The sequence below is a fragment of the Homo sapiens genome, chromosome Y, assembly GCF_000001405.40.
Source record: "Homo sapiens chromosome Y, GRCh38.p14 Primary Assembly".
In the NCBI taxonomy this organism is placed as follows: domain Eukaryota; kingdom Metazoa; phylum Chordata; class Mammalia; order Primates; family Hominidae; genus Homo; species Homo sapiens.
The window spans coordinates 9,381,242-9,403,713 of NC_000024.10; the positions used below are offsets into that span (position 1 = coordinate 9,381,242).

Here is a 22,472-nt window from a genome sequence, read left to right on the forward strand (position 1 = left end):
AGTAGCTAAGCACAGGATGATGGAAATCTTAAAGTTCGCTTTCGTGTTGAATCCACATGTTCTTTTAAAGGTGAATGCATGATCCTTTTCTGGGACAATCAGCCTCTCAGGACTTCTGAAACATCAACGTGAGAAGAAATGGGCATGTAAGGTGTATGGAGGGACTGTGGGAAAGGTGACAGAGGCATGTGGGAAGGCATTCAGGATACGCTTTTGGCATAGATGACTAAGGGAAAACAGAAACTTACAGAAGTGAGGGGAAAGGGGGTGGATTAGTGGAATATAAGATTGTTGGAGAATCCATCCATGGACTCTCTTGTCACTTGATGACCCAGGATATGGACACTCTTGTTGATGTTTACATCTTTAGTTGTTTTAAGCTTTTCTCCAAGATTCTGTGTTAGGTGAGGAGCCAATAACGTATGTAGCTAACAACAGTACGAGTGCATTTTGTGCTCTTGCAAAGTCTAGTGAGGCTCTATTCTCCCTCGTGATTGGCACTGCAGATTGTATCTGGAGCCCAGGGCCCCTAAATTTTCTGTGGCCTCTTCAGCATAGTTTGCCTAAGGTTTAGAACGTAAAGCGAATATAGTTGCGGAATATGTTTTGCAAGCCTCACACAGGAGGACAAAACATACAGCTTTCATTCGCGAGTGGGAGGCTGCTTCCCAGGAACACGTGTGTCTGCACAAGACAAGGGGTTGCCTCTGTCAAGGATGGGGCAGGAGGATTTCAGTGTCGGAGGCAGAACTTTCTTTCCTGTTCCCAGATGAAACAGTTCCAACACGAGCATCCATGTTGACCACACGCTACTAGAGTGCTAACATTGCTGTCCCGTATAGACTCTGGTCAGCACAGCTTCTGTGAGAAGAGCTATGTTGTTTCAGGGAAGAGGGTTTGACAGTCAAAGTTCCTGAATCTGTTGTGGTGCCTGCAATATGCATTCTACCCCTCCTGCTCGGTGTCAAAGCAGTTGAGCTTTGAAAATCTATCGCCCGGTTTTGTCCCTGCTCCTATGCAGACCTCTGAAGCTCTGGAGCGGGAGTCTTGTCCTCCTCTGACTACCGTCCCCCTGACCCACAAACACAGGAGAAACAGGTGTTCTAAGCAAATTATTCTGAAAACAGTCGGAACCCTTTGGCCCCCTCAAGCTGCCCTCTATCCTACTGTGTGCATGTCAAAGACACTGTGGTCCAGTACGGTATCCCTATAGCGGCAATGGGGCAACAGATTGGTGTGTGCACTCTGGGCAACTCAGATTAGGAAACGTCTGGGGACTTGCCTATAACGAGGTCGTCTTAAAACGTGTTGCCCCAAATTTAAGGCATAGGAAAATGTTGAGGAAAGGGTCTTGCAATGATTTTTCTAGGAGGTAAATAGATAAGAAAATGACCGTAAATAGATGCCAGGGCTAGTTTTGGAGCTAGCCTGTTTTAAAGTGGTGGTAGGGGAGGAGGTTTTTCCAAGGCAGGTAGCAAACCAGGAACTGTCTACGATGGATGGGCGTGCCATGGGTTGGTGGCTCAGCCATATTGCCACCCCACGGAGTGGATGCAGCAGACTGGGCTTCTTCCTTGAATCCTACGTGCAATTCAGTCTAGTGATTTCACATGAGATCCCTTCTTCTGGTATTATCACAGATCGTGCTGAATTATACAGGCTGTGTAATGCTTCTTCCACTGAATATCCGTACACGTGGGCCACAGATGCTAAGGGCACTGACAAATTTGCACCGTGCCTCAGTAACTCGGAAGCACATCTGTGATTTGTACCGACAGGGACTTGGTGTCTTTTCGTGTTTAAAGTAGCACGTGTGTGTTTGTGGTTGCGTATGTTTATTTCTCTGTGCGGGTTTGTATATTTTCTCTGACTCCACCTATGTCTCCGTGGTTCCGATATTTTTCCACACTCCCTGCGGCAATTTGCACATGCCTATCTCTACAACCATTGTAGACTTTGTATCTGTGTCTTTGAACATCTGTCACTCTCTCTCCCTTCCTTTTTTCTTTTCCTTCCTTTACACCCCTCCTTTCATCCTTCCCTTGCTTCCCCACCACACTCTCTCCATCTGTATCGTCTATGTTTCTATTCTCTATCTGGGTTTACTTTCTAATTCTGAATTCAAGGGCATTGAATTGAAAAGAAGCACTCTTCGTACTTTTATGTGTTTTAACTCATTTGGGGAATTTGGCGTGGTATTATTTACAGGGTTCTCTCTGCCCTTTCTCATTGTTCTCCCCAGCCGGGGCTGTTATTATGTGAAAGCTGGTTTCCTTCATCACATCGCGTAGGCTCTAATGATGTTTCGTTTATTTTGATTCTCCTCACACTACATAGTTTTAATTTACCTAATGTGACTGTTTTTTTGTTTGTTTTCCGAGAATGGGTCTTACTCTGTCTTCTAGGTTGGACAGCAGCCCCACGATCTCAGCCCACTGCAGCCCAGGCACCACACACCCATGTGATCCTGTCAACTCAGACTCTCACACACCTGGCAGTACAGGTGCATGCCACCCCTCCAAGCTATGTATTAATTAACTAAATACTTACTTTTTGAATGTGGGTCCATGTTGCCCCAGGCTCATCTGGAACTCCTGAGTGCAGGCAATCCTCCCACCTCAGCTTATCAAAGTGCTGGGATGACAGGTGTGACCCATGGCCCTGCCATGGCTTTGTGTTTTTTGCTTTTTTCTTCCTCCTCCTCACGTCTTGTTTTGAAACATGCACTGAAGGTTTCAATTCATGGACTATAGCCTCTGTGCCTGGAATTTCTATCTTTCAACTCATCATCAGCATTCATTGGGATTTTCATATATATATATATATATATATATATATATATATATATATATATATATATATATACCTATATAAGAATACCTATGTACACACATATATACGTATATACATGTATATACGTATATATGCACATTTATATACGTATATACATGTATATACGTATATATATACATGTACACATATGTATTTATTTCTCAAGTTACGAAACGGCTTGCATTCTTTCCTGTGTCATGAAAAAGACTTTGCTAGAAAAGAAAAGCACTGCTTTATAATAAAATATTTTATTTGCATTTATTTTGTTAAGGCATTTTAAAAATTGTATGTTTGTTTAAAAAATGTCATATGAAATGATACATATTTACAACTTAAGGCGTGATGTTCAACAGGTCATATACATTATGCATTGGATACATCCAGCCAATCAACATATGTGTGACCTCACATAGTTGTCATTTTTGTTGTGAAAAAACTTGACCTGCACTGTATTCGAATATTTTTAGAGAAAGAATATGTTACCACTAGTTATAGTGAGCATGCTGAAGAAAATATTTTTAACCTATTCCTCCTTTATAACTAGAAGTATGAGTTCTTCATCCAGCATCTCGTCAGTGCACCCTCTTCACCGCAGTCATTGGAGTCACTACTTCTGTGAAGTCCGCTTTTTTGATTTCATATAAGAATGAGATCATGTGCTACTTTCCTTTCTGATACCTGGCTTATGTCACTTAACAGAATGGCATGCACACATTCAGCAGATTCCCACACATTCTCACAACTGGCAGGATTTCCTGATTTCTTATTGCAGCGCATATTTCCGTTGCGCATATGCGTTTTTGCCCCATTTTTTAATCCACTTATCAATGGAGGGACTCTCAGGTTGCTTCCGCATTTTGGCTACAGCAAAAATGTAATGAGTGCAGCAATAATTGCATGGGTGCGCGCACCGCTTCAACATACTGATCTGTGTACTGGCGGGCGTGCCCGGGTATTCTGATTTGCTGGATCATATAGTGGGTGGTTCTACTTGTAGATTTCTGAAGGCTGTTTATACTTAAATAAGAGCCATAAAGCTTCTTTAATGCCAGCACTAATTTACATTCTCCCCAAAAGTGAGCAGGGAATTCGTTTTCTCTGCCTCCTCACCAGAGATTAGGGTTTTCTTTTCTTTCTTTTTTTTTTTTTGTTTGTTTGTCTTTCGGATAATATGCATTCTGACTGAAGTGAGAAGAAATCTCATTGTGTTTTTGATTTGCATTTTCGTGATGGATTGGGGATAATGAGGAATTTTTAGTGTGTCTTCTGGGCAACTGTATGTCTCAGTTTCACAAATGAGTCTTCGCAGCCTTCGCCCATTTGTTTTCATGCTATTGAGTTGTTGGGAGTTCCTTATGTACTGTGACTATTCCCCCATGAACAGATGTATGGTGATCCAATCATTGCTCCCATCCTGTAGGATGCCCCTTCTGTATGTTGAGTTTTCTATGGTGTGGTGAAGCACTTTAGTTTGATATGATTCCATTCTCTATTTTTGATAGTGTTTACTGTGTTCTTGCAGTCACTTTGAGACCATCATTGCACACATGGACGCCATGGAGCTTCTTCCTTGTGATCTCTTCTGCTATTTTTATCGTTTCACATCTGACACTGGAGTTTGGTGATAAATAATCCACTTGTAAAATCCTTTGTGTGGCTATTCAGATTTCCCCAACCTAGTTTATAGAAGATACTTGATTTTGCATTGGGCGTTCTTGCTTCTTTGGGAAAAGGCTGTGAGCTGCAAATGCAGTGACTTAGTTCTGGGCTCCTGTTGTTTTTCCTAAGCTCTAGTCTCTGCTTTTCTGCCAGTGCTATTGTATTTTGGTACAAAAAGTTTTGTAGTAGTATATCATGAAGTTAGGTAGTGTGGTGGCTCCAGCTTTGTGCTTTTTACTGGATTGCTCTGGGTTTTCAGGATCTTCTGCCATTTCATAGCAAATTTGGGATTCCCAGATTGTTTTTCTAAGAAGAATGTGTCATTGATATTTTTACAGGGGTTGTATAGAATCTGAGGATGACTCAGGTAGTAGTGATGTCAATGCCGTTTAGACAATGTGCGTGTTTGTGTGCACAAGCTCAGGGCCAAGAGACACTGGGTGTCCTCACCAATACTGAGGTGGGCCTTAATATCCAGCCAGATTGCCTTCTGGAAACACACGGAATGTCCTGTTCTGTTTTGCCATCTCTTCACATTTCCTCCCCTGTGAGCCCTGTGTGGTCCTCCAGATTCCCTGTGCGGTGGCCTGCCTTTTTTGGGGTGGGGAGTTGCTGGGTGAATGAGGATGGCGGAGGGAACCAAGTATGTCAGTGGAGCGTGGTGTCATCCAAACGGTACTTAGCAGGCCTGGGAGAGTCATTCTGGGAGGACGCAGACCTAGAGAGGCCTCAGGTGGGCATCTGTGTGGAGGGTGAGAGATCCCTGGTTGAGCCCAAACTGAACCCCAGGTAGAAGCAAGCCTCAGGACAGGGAAGTAGCTAGCAAGGGATGATGAGGGAGCTATCTCTTGACCCTGGCTTCCCACCCATTGACCTTAGCTACTTATGCCTATTAAGCAGATTACGGTTCCCCCATCGTGAAATGTGGGTACCACAGTTCCCTGATGGGCATTTCTCCACCAGCCCATGATGGCCTGAGTTTCCTTACTGCAGTCTCCTCCCTGAGCCTTGGCTTCTCTATGTGTGTCCTAACTCCAGGACCCACAGGCCTGTCAACCCCCAGCCCTGGGCTGCTTCCCTGGCCTCTTCTCTGTTCCCTCTCTGAGGGCCTAACTCCCTTGGGTAGTGCTGCAGAATATAGAGCCACAGGCCCTGGCTGATGATCTGGTGGACTGGGCAAATTGGTCGTGACAGGTCAGGTTCTGGTTCAAAGCCAATTCCTCCGATGCCAAGGAATGTCGAAGAAGGTCCTTTGCCATGATGCCCCATAGCTGCCCCACCTCAGCAATCGTGCCGTAACCTGGGCCCTCACAGTCAGACAACCAGCTGAAGAAGCTCAGGCAGTGACCTGCGGGAAACTCGGGCTTTCACCTGCATGACCCTAGAACCACTGGACTGCAGTGGAGCCAGTCGCCCTGTATCCTGGAGGGAGACGAGTCAGGAAGGCGCACGCCAGGCCCAGCTCCCGAGGTACTACCCCCTCTACTCCTCAGGGAGGATGCCAACGCAATACTCCTTAGTCATCACTTTGTTTCCGAAGTAAATGTTGTGATGAAAGGCAAACTTCTTCCTACCCCTTGTATTCAGGGTGGCCGAGTTCCTCCACCTGCCTGTCCAAGAAGGAGAAACAGGGCTGTGAAGGGGCAATTTCATCTAGGTGGGCTGAGGTGGCATTCTAGCCGGGGTGAAGCATGCGTTTCCCCTTCCCAGCTTTCCCGCTGAGACACACCTGAGCCCCAGAAGGACCTCAACCTGACCAGGACCTTAGCACCCTCCCCCAGACCCAGGCTTTCCATCCTGACCTGCAAATCCAACATGCAGCTTTGAAGGACTTTCTCATGGTTTCTGAGCTCCTTGCTCTCACCAGAAAGAATCAGAACTTTTAAAGTGTTCTTTATGCCAACTTAAATTTTTTCATTTTTACTACCTCATGTTTTGGATGAGGCATGTATTTTTAAATTTATTTTCACCCTTATTGTACCTCTATGATAAACTGCTTGCTTACATTCATACCGTAATTATCTCTCAGGTTACTTGTCTGTTCCTAAAGATTCACTGAAACGAAGAATTCTATATATGCTTGTATCTTTCAGCAACCGTATGTCAGATAGCACTGCACATTACTGCAGACATCGCATATACAGGTCCAAAGGTAGAGGAAGAAGAAGAAAGCAAGCGTTAAACTCTATTCATTCCTAAAAGCATATCAGAAACTCACAAATAACAGTGAAATCAAAGAATGATCACAGCCAATTCCATTACATACCTAGACTGAAATACGAAACTTCAAAGAAAAGAAACATTAGAACTTTGGGTTTGTAAAAATTTTCCTATATAGATAAAATTATTGGTAACTGTGTCTCACTAGAAAACGTAAACAAAAATCCATGTTTTTCATATTTGTAAATATACATAGTTTTATTTCCATCAGTTATGACATGCAAGCAAGTAATAAAGTGAAAGTACAATCAAATGATATATGGAACTTCCTCAGTCTTAAAATATTCCATGGAGACTATCAATTTTATGAAAACTATAAAGAATGCTTCATGAAACTACATTGTACAGTGCCATTTACTATTTTACTGACATTTTAAATAATCAACAATTAAAGGGAATACATCAACATTATTTAATACCAATAACGTTATTTTTCTTGAGTAATCCTGTTGAAATTAAGGATTTTAAATAAAACATTAAAAACAAATTATATTGACTGATTTCAGCTTTGGATGAAATCATACTTGTGTATTTGTAGTAATGCGAAGCATAACTTTCTCCTCACAATTAATCTTTTATAACATCGGTGTTATAGTTTTCTCTGACACCAACATTGTGATATCGCACAGGTTTACTGCATGCATGCATTACATGCCTCCAGAGAGTAGGCTTCAAATATATGGAAAAATTATATTTATGAAAAAATTCTAGGAAAGGGAATGGTGAAATGGAAGAGAATTTCTCACTTGCTAACTGTTGGACATGGATTTGTATATATTTGGATATAGACACATACTGGCACACTGTGAGTTTGCCCATGTATATATACACTTATATGAGAAACCCATAATATATGGGTTGTGTAATCTTTTAATTAATCCATAATTGTATGTGTGTGAAATTAGATAAGCGGTTACCTTTTCTTTACTCAATTTGATGGAAAGCCAAAAAACTCTGTCCACCTTCATTTCAATTAATCCAATACTGTTAACTGCTGGTAGCTTCATTCTCCTTGTTCTCTTACGGCAACCGGAAAGTTAATTCTCGCTCTAATTTGGCTTTCAAGGTGCGATCAACAAGAGTGTCACCTTGCTGTGGATTGTGACCTCTGACTCCACCTCTGTCTTCCTTTTGCAGTCCTACCTTTGCATAGGTAACAAACTTTGTACATGGTTAAAAGGATAAAAGTTCAGTGAAATGTCAAGCCATGCTGTGAAATGTTCCATAGTTTCTATATCTCTAATTGTCCTTTGATGTTATAGAGGCAAGAAAAATAATTCAATGTTTTTCTTAGTATCTAGTCCAATGCACTCTTTCTTCATAATACTGCAAACAAGGCACTGACATGGAAACGTGGCTGGACGTCTCAAAATCTCTTCTCATTAATTACCATTATGTTAATCACTGTTGCCCACAACTGGAATTGGACTTTGAAATCCCCTGGTGGAAATTGCTATAATGGCTCAAACTACTGGAAAGACTATCTTTTTTTTACCTGAAAATATCTGATGAGCATAGACGTATGCTATATACAGGAACATATTGTACATTAACAACATACCATCACTGCCACTCAATAATAGGTATCCCAAACCTTTGAGCCAAACTGAGCTCGGGTGCTCCCACAAACCAAGCTTTTCCCTCCACAGATTTCTTATGTCAAAAAGCCACAACTCCAGGCCAGGCTTCGTGGCTCTTGTTGTAATTTCTACATTTTGGGAGGCCGAGGTTGGTGGGTCACTTGAGGTCAGGAGTTGGAGACCAGCATGGGCAACATGGCAAAAAGCTGTCTCTACCAAAAATACAAAAATTAGCCAGACCTAGTGGCACTTTCCTGTGGTCCCAGCTACTTGGGAGGCTGAGGCAGGAGAACCACCTGAACATGGGTGGCAGAGATTGTATAGTAAGCCAAGATCAGACTACTGCACTCCAGCCTGGATGACACAGCGAGACCATGACTGAAAAAAGAAAAAAAAAAAAATAAAGGCAACTCCACTCGTCCACTGGCTTAGGTAAAAAGTACTGGAGTTGGCTGGGCTCGGTGGCTCACACCTGTATTCCCAGCACTTTGGATTTTGGGAAGCTGAGTCGGGCGGGTCACCTGAGATCTGTAGTAGGAGAGCAGCCTGGCCAACATGGTGAAGCCTGGCTTCTGCTAAAAATACAAAACATTAGCTGAGCGTGGTGATGCATGCTTGTAATCCCAGCTACTGCAGAGGCTGAACCTGGGAGGCGGAGGATGTGTTGAGCTGAGATCCTGCGACTGCGCTCCAGCCTGGTCTACAGAGCGAGAGTACCCTGTGAGAAACAAAGGTGAAGAGAACAAGAAAAAAAAAATGAGAAAAATAAGACCCACTGCAAAAGGTTGCCACAGAAAAGATTAAACATTTCAGCAACTTCTATCTTCTGTCATGGAAGCCAAGGTTATTTGGACCAAACCTCCTGTCTTAGTTCATTTTCACGCTGCTGAAGAAGACATACCTGAAACTGGGAATAAAAGGAGGTTTAATTGGACTGACAGTTCCACATGGCTGTGGAGGCCTCAGAATCATGGTATACGAATAAAGGCACTTCTTACATGGCAATGCCAAGAGAGAATGAGGAAGAACCTGAGGCAGAAACCCCTGAAAAACCCATCAGATCCCGTGAGACTTCTTCACTGTCACAAGAATAGCATGAGAAAGACCGACCCCCATGATTCAATTACCTCCCCCTGGGTCCCACCCGCAACACGAGGGAATTCTGGGAGATACAATTGAAGCTGAGATTTGAATGGAGACACACCAAACCATGTCACTTCCCAAACAATTAAAAATTCCCAATAGAAGAAGCATTAATTATATCAAAAAGTGGTGGACCAAGAAGGAACTATTAGCCTCATATCTCAAGAAAGACTCCAGTCAAGGCCTAGGGACTACTCATGAAAAGAGTTTAATAGCCGACTCTCTCCCAGTGGATCTGGATTCCACCGGACTGTATCTTCACAGTAAGGGTGAAACAGAAGCAAACCCATTCCTATTTCCAAGCTCAAGGAACTTTGGTCAAAGTTCTCTTGGAGCTGAGCAGAACAAGGAGGCAAACAGAAAAGATTTGTGTCCCTGAGAAGTCATGGCCACAGGCTGGCTATCACACAGATTGTCAAGCCAGTTCCATATTGCATGGGTATTACAGAAAATCTCAAAACATAAATTTGTGTGTGGGTTGTCCCAGAGTAGCAGGATCTGGCAGAAGGAAATTTCCTTCTAACCCTCAAAGAATCCACATAAATCTTGTTACATTTGGGATTTTACGATTTGCTTCAGGAATGAGAATGGCCTTAATTTTCATATCTTTTTCTACACTCAGTTTATGTCTTGTTGGCGTCAAAGTTCTGCTTGCTTCACACAATGAGTTTAGGATTTTCCCTTTTTTATTCTATAGAATTCTTCATATATATTGAAATGCTCTGCCTGGGGAAAAAAATCTGAGCCTAGCGTTTTATCTCTAGGAAGAATCCTTTATTTCCTTGGACATTTATGAGACTATACAGATTATATATGTCTTCTTGTATCAATTTTACTAAGCTATATACATAGCTTATGTTTATATATTATATATATAAATGTAAGATACAAATATAAAAATTATGTATAAATATGAAAATATATATAGAAAGCGATATATATGTCTATATATAGAGACAGATTATAAATATCTGTCTATTTGATCTAAGTTTTCAAATTTGTAGGTTAAGGTGTTAACGATATTTCCTTATTAGCTTCTTAATCTATGCTGTATCTATGGTTGTGTACCTTTTAAATTCTTAGTTTTATCTATGTTTTCTCCCTTTTTTTCTAAACTTGACTGACGGTTGCATCATTTATTATATTTCTCCAACAAGCAAAGGTTAGCTTTGTATGTTTTACTAATTTTGTCTACATCATTATTCCCACACTTTAGTTTTTCAGAATTGATTCTGTTGTTTCTTTTCTAATTCTTTATTGAAATATCTAGTACATTAATTTTCAAGTTATTAGAGAAATATTTGTCTGTAAACTCCTATTGTAATATCACTTTTCTTGCTACTCACAGATTTAATCTTTAATATTGGCGGTATCATTGAGTTCTAAGTACATTTCAATTCCTAGTATGATAATCTATGAATTGCTGAGAAATAGTGTTTACAATTTTGTTGTTCTATTTCCACTTAAGTTTATTTTTACTTCTGCTAACTCAATTGAAAATTCTTTACTAATTTTTAAAATCCTTGAACCCAAGAGATGGAGGTTGCAGTGAGCTGAGATCAGGCCACTGCATTCCAGACTGAGTGACAGAGTGGAACGAGATTTCAAAACAAAACAAAACAAAACAAAACAAAACAAAACAGTCACTGGAAAGATAATAAAATACATAAATGTGGGATGTAATATGTAATCGTGATAAAATAAACTGGATTTTTTGTATAAGTTATACATATAAATGTAATGCCAAGACACTGATAAGACAACTCATGGTCTTATCTCAATACTTAGTGTCTTCATGTAACATATGTCCTTTAGGATAGTTATAGTCCGTTTTCTTTCCAGGAGAGACAGATGAGAATGCAGAAATGTTAAAGTGCAAGGGACGGAAGCTTCCAGCTGTGCCCACCTGTAACCTGACGTAGACAGTTCCACCGTTTGCTTCATTAATCATGCCAAAGGCTCTAATGCAAATGTGGTACAGAGTCACATGTTTTTGTATCTACATGATAGAAACTATAACTTCATCCCTATATAGAAGGGTATATAGCATATGCCTCAGTGATAAATATAAGTGAATCATTGATCAGTAGGAAACCATTTTAAAAGTCTTTCATAACAGAACAAAATCCCTGAGAACATTTTCTTCTCAATCTCTGAGTTTTCTTACACGGCTTATGAATCTCTAGCCATACTAAAGAGATAGTATGCTGCTCTTCCCACAAATTATTCATTGTATATAATTCCTGTAATCTAATAACAGTACCTTTACACCTCAGGGTTTAAAATGACTCCAACCTTTTTCTGTTTCTCCAATTAAAATAACTTTTTTAAGGTTTAATCTTCAGTAATTTTTTGTAGTAATATTTTTGAAGGTATTTGACCAGGATGATTTGCTTATATACCTACCTGACGTCTCCCTTTCTTCTGAATACATATTTTATTACCCACCTATTAGATCTAAGTTTAAGAAGTTGGAATAGGGATTTAAATCTAAATTCTACATTTGAATTTACAGGAGTCAGCGAGTCCGGGAAGTGCCTTTATGCACAGACCAATATCTGGCAATGGCACTAGGAGACAAATAAGCTTTACCAGTCTCAAAGCCCTGGCTACTACAGTGAATCCACCCTTCTCCTGGATCTTATCTACTTCAGCAAAAGAAGGCCACCCACTAAACCAGGCCCTTGTACTTTGGGTGGAAACTCCTAAGTCCTCTAGTCTCCTCAAACAGACAGCCAGGCTGCCAATTTCCACAATAATAATTTCTATAGCACTGAGTCTTTGGTAGCCTTGTAACTATAGCTACTGATGCTACAGTCTGGTCCCTGTATGATAAAACACCAGAGCAACAGAAACAAAAATATTGACTGAAGCCTTCTAAAATCTCTCTAAATATACCTTCAATAAATATGGTTTTTTTTACAGAACGACTGCTTTCAGCTTCCTGAACTAACGCTTGGCCTTCGCTAGTTGTCACTGTTGAAATTGATTCAAAAGTGTACCTTTAACATGAAAGTCAACACAGAATTTCATGTGTCAGCAACTAAAATTTTCAAAATGTTGCAAAATACAAATGTGAAACTGTATTTGTGAAATTTACCATTCATTGAAATTATATTTTCATACCTACCCAGGCACAGAATTTTTTATAACTGTCTGCATGTTCTCCTCATGTGGGGGAAAAGCAGCATCAGCAGGCAGAGGAATCCTTTGAAGCTGGAGGGAGAGGTTGCAGTGATCTGAGAGTTTGCCACTTGACTGCAGCCTGGATGACACAGTGAGACTCCAACTGAAAAGAAACAAACACACACACACACACACACACACACACACACACACATACACCCCCAAAATTGATAAGTAAAAAAAAAATCCGTATTCGAAAACATGCTCACAGGCTAACTCCCATATCTAACACACACACACACACACACACACACACACACACACACACACACAATTCCTTGAAAACGAAAGTTCCACAAGGGCGAAACAAGAAAACAAATTTAACACCCCCCAAAGAAAGTACAAAGAGTAACCTCAAAAGAACCGCAGGGGAAAACAATTCAAAATTTACAAGTATCTACCCTAAAAGAAGCTGAAAGTCCCTCAAAAACTTTCCAGAGGCCATGTCCTTGTATTACAAAAATGATCATAAAAACTGGCAGGAGTAGACGAATAGAAATGCATCTTAAAACTTGCCGAACACTTCAAGTCTCCCATAAGAATTGTAATGGAAAATGGATCAGTCGGCAGTTTTTTCCATACAATTATGAACAAATTATATTTCTTCATACATAGATTTGTTTTTTCAATATTCTAAGGAATTAACTTTTATATTAATAGTAGGTGATGTAAGAAAGCAGGCCTTTATCAAGATAACTGACACTGGATGTCCATACCATTACTCAGGTGGGCCTTAATTCCCAGCCAGGTTCCCTCCCTGGACACACACTGAAGGTCCCCAGCCATTTGGCAATCTCTTCACATTCCCAGCCCTGGAGGTAGCCCTAAAATACATGTACCTGAAGAAAATAAAACATTGCCTCACACTGGAGCCCAGTGTGGTCCTCCAGATTCCGTGTGAGGTGGACTAACTTATATGGGAAGGCAGGGCAGCGGGAGTGAGGATGGCAGAGAGGATTACACATGTCAAGGCAGCCGGGGTCATGGAAACAAAACATGACTGGCCTGGGAGAAACACTGTGAAAGGACATACACCTAGGTGGGCCTCAGGTGGACATCCTCGTGGAGAAAAAGGGGGCCCTGGTTGATCTCAAAATGAGCCCCAGGTGGTAGCAGGTCTTACCGCAGGGCAGGGAGCTGGCGAGTAATGATGAGACAGCTATCCCTTAAGCCCTGCTTGTCACCCACTGACTTTAGCCACATATGCATCATAGTGGCTTAAGGTGCCCCGATCCTGAAATGTGGGTGTTACATGTCCCTGATGGGCCTCTCTCCCCCAACCCACGGATTGCCTGGGATTGCTCACTGCAGTCTCCTCCCGGATCCTTGGGTTCTCCATGTGGGGCCCAGATCCAGGTCAAAAGGCCTCTCAGTTCCCAGCCCTTCCCAGCCCTAGGCTGCTCGCCTGGCCTCCTCTCTGTTCCGCCTCTAGGGCTGACCCTCTCTCCATGGGATAGAACTGCAATGGATTGAGCCATAGGCCCTGGCTGATGATCTAGGGGACTGCAGAAGTGGGTCCAGGACAGTTCAGGTGACAGTTCAAAGCCAATTCCCCAGAGACCAAGGAATGACCAGCTAGGTCCTTTCCCATGATGCCCCACGGCGAACCCCACCTCAGCAATCCTGCCAAAACCCGGGCAGTCATGTTCAGCCAAACAGCTGAATGAGCTCAGGTAGGAGGTGTACTGCCTGCAGCTGGAGGCTTGACCTTCGTGATCCCAGAACCGCTGGACTGCAGTGGAATGAGACACCCTGTAGCCTGCAGGGAGAGGAGTCAGGAAGGTTCATGCCAGTCCCACCCTCCCACACACCAGCTCCCCTACCATGCTGGGAGGCATTCCTTACCGAGGATGCCAACACAGTGCTCCTTCATGATGATTTCACTGTGGAAATAAAGGTTGGGATGAAAGGAAATCATCCTGCCACCGGTAACCGGGATGGCTGAGTTCCTCCACCTGCCGGATCAAGGAGAAAGAGGATGGATTCAATGGGACCATCTCAACTAGCCGGGCTGAGGTGGCCTACTAGCTGTAGTGAACCATGAGTTTCCCCTTCCCAGCTCTCCCACTGAGACAACCCTGGTCCCCAGGGGGACCTCAAACTGACTCAGACACTGGACTCCTCCCACAGACCCAGGCTCCCCAGCCTGACCTGCAAATCCATCACGTAGCAAAGCAGGACTTCCGCATGCTTTCCGACCCACGCCGACATCTCGTGTGCCAAACAATCTACCTCTGCGCAAGAACTCTCCAGAGGATTGGGTGGGCAAGCCTCGTGACGCCTTGCAATTTCGCAAGAACACAGACAATGTGGAACAGGGCCATCTCCCAGACATTTGGCCAGTCACCCTTCATTGTTGGCCCTCTATCTCTGTCTGGCGAGGAGGCAACGCCACAACTGTGGTGGTTTTTGGAGTGGGTGGACCCCGGCCAAGACGGCCTGGGCTGACCAGAGACGGGAGGCAGAAAAAGTGGGCAGGTGGTTGCAGCTGAGGGACGGGAGGGGCCGGGGGTGGTGTGAGGCGGCTGCTTCTCTGAGTTTCTGAGATGCAGGAGGCCTTTGTGTGCTGGGTGCTGGACATGCTCCGCTGATGTCCGGGTGTGTGGTGTCCTCTTATCCTAGTCTCCCTGAGGGGTGGGCCTGTCCACCTGAGGGAAGCCTTGTAGTTAGAAGCCACAGCAGGGTCGTGCCTGGCGCTCTCCAAGGGAATTGCGTGGGTCCAGAGGAAGTTATACAGGCTCAGGGCCTACACGCCTTTGAGTGCAGCGCCTGCAGTTGGATGAATGCGCATCTGCGGAGCTGGTGCCCGCCGTCAGGTGGTCGGCAGCCCCATGCGCCGCGAACCCGTCTTAAGCACCTTGCGTTTCTGGGGTGAGCCTGCTGGAAACAGGCACCGAGAGCAGGGGTGGTTCAATGGCTGGTAATGGCATACAGATTCCCCGTCCTCCAGGGACGTTCCCAGGGAAACGCGTCCTTCGAATTTGGGCTGTGCGCAAAGGGACCTTGGCGCCGCGATTCTCCCTTGTCAGTGCTGGCCCTGGCTCCCCTTCCCTACCACGTGCTCCCAGGGCTGCTACAAGCGAGCTGCCCTCACAGCTGCGGGAACGTGGCCTCGGCTCCCACGCTGTCCCCCATCCCCTGCCTCCTGGCTGACCCCACGTGCCTCCCACCTGGCTCCTCCCCCCAAACAGCCCCCATACCCCCCGAGGCCCGATGACTATCCCCTGCTGCCCGCCGTCCCAAATCGGCAGCCGCAAGGATATGGCTCTGGCTCACAAGGCGGAGATGCTCTGTGGCCTGGGGCATTCACGGAGCCCAGCTCCAAGTGAAGGACCTCCAGCGAGTCCATTGACGGCCCCGGTGTGCTCGGTCCAGGGCCAGGCTGTGCCCGCTGGCCCTCCTTCTGCCACCCCACGTCGGGCTCCACCTCAACCACCACCTCCACCTCAGCCATGATGTCTTCCACCTTCAGCACCGCCTCCTCTTCCAAGGCCGCCTCCTTGCTCTGTACCCCGGCCGTCCTCTCCAGCATTGCCTCCAGCCTGAACACGGTTTTCTCCTGGGTGCTCCCACAGACCCTGGGCCTGCGCAGCCCAGCCCAGCCCAGCCCATGCCCCGCACCCGTAGGCTCTGGGGGCCCGCTCCCCAGCAGACCCGCTCCCTGCAAGACCCACGGGCGTCGCCCTGCTGTGAACCTGGTCCCACACCTACGTGGACCCAGGTTTCCTGAGGAGCTCCGCTGGACCCGCAGATCCCGCACTGGCCAAAGGGCTCCGGTCCCCAGCAGGCTCAACTGCGCACAGGAGCTCGGGAGCCAGAGGCCCCGGCCCTGGGCTTGCAGAGCCCCACCAACAGGCACCGCAACCGCTGCTGCGGGTGCGGGAGCCTCTGGGTCGTCAAGGCAGCGCACAACAGCGTGCGCGCAGGCCGACAATGGCCAACCCTGGCGGCTGGCCTCTGGTGTGCCCAGGGCATAGGACAAGAGGCCCTTTGGAATGCTCCTTGGAGTACAGCATCCTCAGGGAGGAAGCATGGTACTCGGAGCCTCTATTTGCCTCGACCTGTGAGAGTGTGTGCCGGGGCTCTGGCCTCTACAGCAGATCAATTCCACCTCAGCACCGGCAGGCGACTTTCCTCCCACGTGCCCGCCCCGATCACTTCCCCCAGGACACCCCTGCCGCCCTAGCCCCAGCAACCAGAGAGAGTTCTCTGCATCTGCTGTATTACCTCCGTACCATCTACCTGGCCTGCCTAACGAAGAGAGATGTTTCCTGTGTTCATGACACATAGAGATGTTCATGGCTTGCCACACTGAGGATGTCAGGGCACAGGGCTGCCATGCCCACAATTCCAAAGGCCACGCAGCCCGCGTGTGCCCGGATGCCTAGCTACCCGGCACAAGCTCCAAGGGCTTCTCGGAGGAGGCTTGGGCAGGGAAGGCGGGGGGTGGGGGGGCTGGAGATGCAGGCCCGCCAGTGGCTGTGCCGCCCAGGGAGACGCCCACCGCCCTCCCATTGACTGGCCACGACGGGAGGAAGTCGGCCTGGGTGCGGCCCCCCGGCCCTTCGCGCGCAGTCCCTTAGGGGGCGCCTGGAAGCCCGGCGCATGCGCCCTGAGGGCTCGCTGACCTACCGGGTGCCAGAGAGGCTGCGGCAGGGTTTCTGTGGCGTGGGTCGGGCAGCACAGGCCTTGGTGTGTGCGAGTGCCAAGGAGGGCACCGCCTTCAGGATGGAGGCTGTACAGGAGGGGGCGGCCGGGGTGGAGAGTGAGCAGGCGGCTTTGGGGGAGGAGGCGGTGCTGCTGTTGGATGACATAATGGCGGAGGTGGAGGTGGTGGCGGAGGAGGAGGGCCTCGTGGAGCGGCGGGAGGAGGCCCAGCGGGCACAGCAGGCTGTGCCTGGCCCTGGGCCCATGACCCCAGAGTCTGCACTGGAGGAGCTGCTGGCCGTTCAGGTGGAGCTGGAGCCGGTTAATGCCCAAGCCAGGAAGGCCTTTTCTCGGCAGCGGGAAAAGATGGAGCGGAGGCGCAAGCCCCACCTAGACCGCAGAGGCGCCGTCATCCAGAGCGTCCCTGGCTTCTGGGCCAATGTTGTATCCTTCTCAGTGTTTCTTCGGCCTTTCTAGTGGAGAGGTGCTCTCGGGGAAGTGTAAGTGACCGATGGGCAGCTCGGCGTCGATGTGACTCTTTGGGGAACAAAGGGGAGTTGCCACGGACCAATGTGGCTGTGGAAAGCCGGAGCAGGCGTGGGTACTATTGTCCTGCATGCGGCAGAGAAACCCTTGGTGATGCCGAGCAGCAGACGTTTGGGGCATCTTTTTGAAGAGCAGAAGCGAGTTCAGAGCGGAAGAGGTTTTTCAGTGAATGAAGCTATTTTTAAGGGAGTGTGATTGCTGCCCCTTGCTAGTCCGATCTGGGACTGGGCGTCTTCGGCTATAAGCAGATTCTGCCACTCCTCAGACACCAGCAAGTCTCTGCAAATCGCGCCTCCCCATGTCAGTGCAGTCAGCCTCAGAATCATACACCCTCTGTGAACACAGGAGGCCTTAGTTTACGGGGAGGGGGAGGCGAAAGGAGATCATACATGGAAGCAGATCTGAGAAATCCCCTACCCCAGCCTCTGGGTGCTCTTAGGCCTTCTTCCCTGTTGCTCCTCGCTTTCCCTTCCATCGTGTGTAAAGTCTCTTTGACCTAAATCAGATTGCAAACCACCCCCAGATGTCAGCCCTGATCACTGACGAAGATGAAGACATGCTGAGCTACATGGTCAGCCTGGAGGTGAGGCCAGGAAGACTGGGGCTGGAGGGTTTAGCGGGGGAGGGTAAGGGAAATAATTCATTCCTGTAAGCAAGAGTGAGCACCTCACCCGAAAACCTATCTAAGCTTTCTCCACCTTGTCCTGACAGGTGGAAGAAGAGAAGCATCCTGTTCATCTCTGCAAGATCATGTTGTTCTTTCGGAGTAACCCCTACTTCCAGAATAAAGTGATTACCAAGGAATATCTGGTGAACATCACAGGTGACAGGTGGCTCCCAGGATGGGTAGTGGAAGGAAGATGGTGGGTGGATCATTGCCAACGGGATCCAGCCCCCTTCCCACAAAAACTCCTGTCTCTGTAGAATACAGGGCTTCTCATTCCACTCCAATTGAGTGGTATCCGGATTATGAAGTGGAGGCGTATCGCCGCAGACACCACAACAGCAGCCTTAACTTCTTCAACTGGTTCTCTGACCACAACTTCGCAGGATCTAACAAGATTGCTGAGGTGAGTCCTCACTGGGAAACATGAGGAATGACCCCGTGTGTTCCCAGCTGCTTGGGTCACCTTTCTGAGCCCTGATGAGGCCTTTCCCGATTGAGTCCCCTGACAGATCCTATGTAAGGACCTGTGGCGCAATCCCCTGCAATACTACAAGAGGATGAAGCCACCTGAAGAGGGAACAGAGACGTCAGGTGAGCCGTTAGTTGGCACTGGAGCTGTTTGATGCCCAGTATAAGGGGGTTGACACACCTGCCTATTCAGGGAGCCTGGGTGCTCATTTCAGAAATGTAGAAATTGAGGCTCCTTTCGTACATGTAGAAATTCCTTGAGAGGAAGACAGAGAGTGACAGAATCCAGGACGTTCATGGCATTGGGCTGAAAAGGCACGTTAGAGACTGCACTGCAAAGCGGGTGATAGCTGTGGAGTCTTAAGCCCAGTGAAGAATCGTCCATTTCCAGAATCAATGAGAAGTAAAGCTGAAAATCATTCAGTTCAGTCTGTGGCACTTGATTCCACGGCTGTCAACCCCACCGGCAGTCATCCCACCAACCCCATGAGATTGGGCTCCCTGAATGTGCGTCCTGGTCATCCTTGCCCCAAACCACAAAGGACTGTTTAGATTGATGGATTTCCTTAAGCTGTTGCCCCATCAGACTTGTGTGTGCTTTTAGGGCCCAGTGCATCTTGTTAGCTGACTCCCCTCACAGACAATACTGGGAATGGGGCAGGGATTGCGCAGAACAGTTTGTAACACGTGGTAGGAGGAAGTTTAAGGGATCACAAATGGGGAAGGGATATCCTTTTCTCAGCGGGCCCCACAATTGAAACATTTCAAAGTATGGCTCAGAGAAAATGCGTTTTAACATGAGTTTGTGTTTCTCTAGGGGACTCCCAGTTGTTGAGTTGAATATGATGGAGCATCAGATTTTACCTAATACAGCAGAACTCCTAAAAAGTTACAGCCATATGCAGGACGGCAGTACTCAGCATGGTCTTATGCACAGGAACTAAAGGAAAAAGAGATCGAGTCACAAAAATTCAGGAAGAGGGGGTAAATGTGGATTGTATGGAATGAAAAATAAACATTCTCAAGGATGTGTGACTCTGTGTCTGTGTGTGTGTGTGTGTCTTTGTGTTTGTGTGTGTGTGTGTGTGTGTGTGTGTGTGTATGTTTATCCACTTTATTCGGGTGTCATAATGAATTGATCAATCCACGTGCTTTATTCTCTTCATGGAAATAACCAGTCTGCGTTGGAGCTGGGCCTCTAAAGTTGTAGAGTGAATGGGTGTGGGATGTGTTGGGATTCTTCCTACAGGACAGAGTGGGAGAGGTAAAAGCAAAAGACAGCTTAGTTGGAGGCTGACTTCGTCCTGTGGAAGCAGAGATAGTTCAAGGAAAGGGGTTACTGGGTTTCCAGGGCCCAGTTTGCTGGGACCTCCAAAATCCTTCATTTTGGGTATCATCATACACAGTAGCTAAGCACAGGATGATGGAAATCTTAAAGTTCGCTTTCGTGTTGAATCCACATGTTCTTTTAAAGGTGAATGCATGATCCTTTTCTGGGACAATCAGCCTCTCAGGACTTCTGAAACATCAACGTGAGAAGAAATGGGCATGTAAGGTGTATGGAGGGACTGTGGGAAAGGTGACAGAGGCATGTGGGAAGGCATTCAGCATACGCTTTTGGCAGAGATGACTAAGGGAAAACAGAAACTTACAGAAGTGAGGGGAAAGGGGGTGGATTAGTGGAATATAAGATTGTTGGAGAATCCATCCATGGACTCTCTTGTCACTTGATGACCCAGGATATGGACACTCTTGTTGATGTTTACATCTTTAGTTGTTTTAAGCTTTTCTCCAAGATTCTGTGTTAGGTGAGGAGCCAATAACGTATGTAGCTAACAACAGTACGAGTGCATTTTGTGCTCTTGCAAAGTCTAGTGAGGCTCTATTCTCCCTCGTGATTGGCACTGCAGATTGTATCTGGAGCCCAGGGCCCCTAAATTTTCTGTGGCCTCTTCAGCATAGTTTGCCTAAGGTTTAGAACGTAAAGCGAATATAGTTGCGGAATATGTTTTGCAAGCCTCACACAGGAGGACAAAACATACAGCTTTCATTCGCGAGTGGGAGGCTGCTTCCCAGGAACACGTGTGTCTGCACAAGACAAGGGGTTGCCTCTGTCAAGGATGGGGCAGGAGGATTTCAGTGTCGGAGGCAGAACTTTCTTTCCTGTTCCCAGATGAAACAGTTCCAACACGAGCATCCATGTTGACCACACGCTACTAGAGTGCTAACATTGCTGTCCCGTATAGACTCTGGTCAGCACAGCTTCTGTGAGAAGAGCTATGTTGTTTCAGGGAAGAGGGTTTGACAGTCAAAGTTCCTGAATCTGTTGTGGTGCCTGCAATATGCATTCTACCCCTCCTGCTCGGTGTCAAAGCAGTTGAGCTTTGAAAATCTATCGCCCGGTTTTGTCCCTGCTCCTATGCAGACCTCTGAAGCTCTGGAGCGGGAGTCTTGTCCTCCTCTGACTACCGTCCCCCTGACCCACAAACACAGGAGAAACAGGTGTTCTAAGCAAATTATTCTGAAAACAGTCGGAACCCTTTGGCCCCCTCAAGCTGCCCTGTATCCTACTGTGTGCATGTCAAAGACACTGTGGTCCAGTACGGTATCCCTATAGCGGCAATGGGGCAACAGATTGGTGTGTGCACTCTGGGCAACTCAGATTAGGAAACGTCTGGGGACTTGCCTATAACGAGGTCGTCTTAAAACGTGTTGCCCCAAATTTAAGGCATAGGAAAATGTTGAGGAAAGGGTCTTGCAATGATTTTTCTAGGAGGTAAATAGATAAGAAAATGACCGTAAATAGATGCCAGGGCTAGTTTTGGAGCTAGCCTGTTTTAAAGTGGTGGTAGGGGAGGAGCTTTTTCCAAGGCAGGTAGCAAACCAGGAACTGTCTACGATGGATGGGCGTGCCACGGGTTGGTGGCTCAGCCATATTGCCACCCCACCGACTGAATGCAGCAGACTGGGCTTCTTCCTTGAATCCTACGTGCAATTCAGTCTAGTGATTTCACATGAGATCCCTTCTTCTGGTATTATCACAGATCGTGCTGAATTATACAGGCTGTGTAATGCTTCTTCCACTGAATATCCGTGCACGTGGGCCACAGATGCTAAGGGCACTGACAAATTTGCACCGTGCCTCAGTAACTCGGAAGCACATCTGTGATTTGTACCGACAGGGACTTGGTGTCTTTTCGTGTTTAAAGTAGCACGTGTGTGTTTGTGGTTGCGTATGTTTATTTCTCTGTGCGGGTTTGTATATTTTCTCTGACTCCACCTATGTCTCCGTGGTTCCGATATTTTTCCACACTCCCTGCGACAATTTGCACATGCCTATCTCTACAACCATTGTAGACTTTGTATCTGTGTCTTTGAACATCTGTCACTCTCTCTCCCTTCCTTTTTTCTTTTCCTTCCTTTACACCCCTTTCATCCTTCCCTTGCTTCCCCACCACACTCTCTCCATCTGTATCGTCTATCTTTCTATTCTCTATCTGGGTTTACTTTCTAATTCTGAATTC

The 22,472-nt window shown here is 46.3% G+C and overlaps 1 protein-coding gene and 1 long non-coding RNA gene across 5 annotated transcripts; one reads left to right on the forward strand and one right to left on the reverse strand.

Moving 5' to 3' along the window:
* Positions 1-8,949: 8,949 nt before the first annotated feature.
* Positions 8,950-14,567, reverse strand: FAM197Y6 (family with sequence similarity 197 Y-linked member 6). Its single transcript, NR_145469.1, has 4 exons — positions 14,466-14,567; positions 14,234-14,379; positions 12,565-12,723; positions 8,950-9,009 (listed from the first exon to the last, which is right to left on the reverse strand). It is a non-coding gene; the product is annotated as a family with sequence similarity 197 Y-linked member 6 (long non-coding RNA).
* Positions 14,568-17,179: 2,612 nt separating this feature from the next.
* On the forward strand, positions 17,180-19,976 carry TSPY3 (testis specific protein Y-linked 3). Of its 4 annotated transcripts, none has more exons than XR_949063.3 (6): positions 17,180-17,711; positions 18,319-18,396; positions 18,525-18,636; positions 18,745-18,883; positions 18,979-19,071; positions 19,766-19,976. XR_949063.3 is itself a non-coding variant. In XM_005272742.5 (6 exons), exons 1-5 carry the CDS (start codon positions 17,226-17,228, stop codon positions 19,039-19,041), a joined length of 885 nt encoding a protein of 294 aa, XP_005272799.1. In that variant the 5' UTR covers positions 17,180-17,225; the 3' UTR covers positions 19,042-19,071; positions 19,766-19,976. The 4 variants fall into 4 exon arrangements, 3 of the variants coding, with proteins under 3 accessions (XP_005272799.1, NP_001071165.2, XP_011542306.1); XM_005272742.5 differs by having other exon boundaries at positions 18,738-18,883; NM_001077697.2 differs by having other exon boundaries at positions 18,738-18,883; positions 18,990-19,071.
* The last annotated feature ends 2,496 nt before the right edge of the window (positions 19,977-22,472 follow it).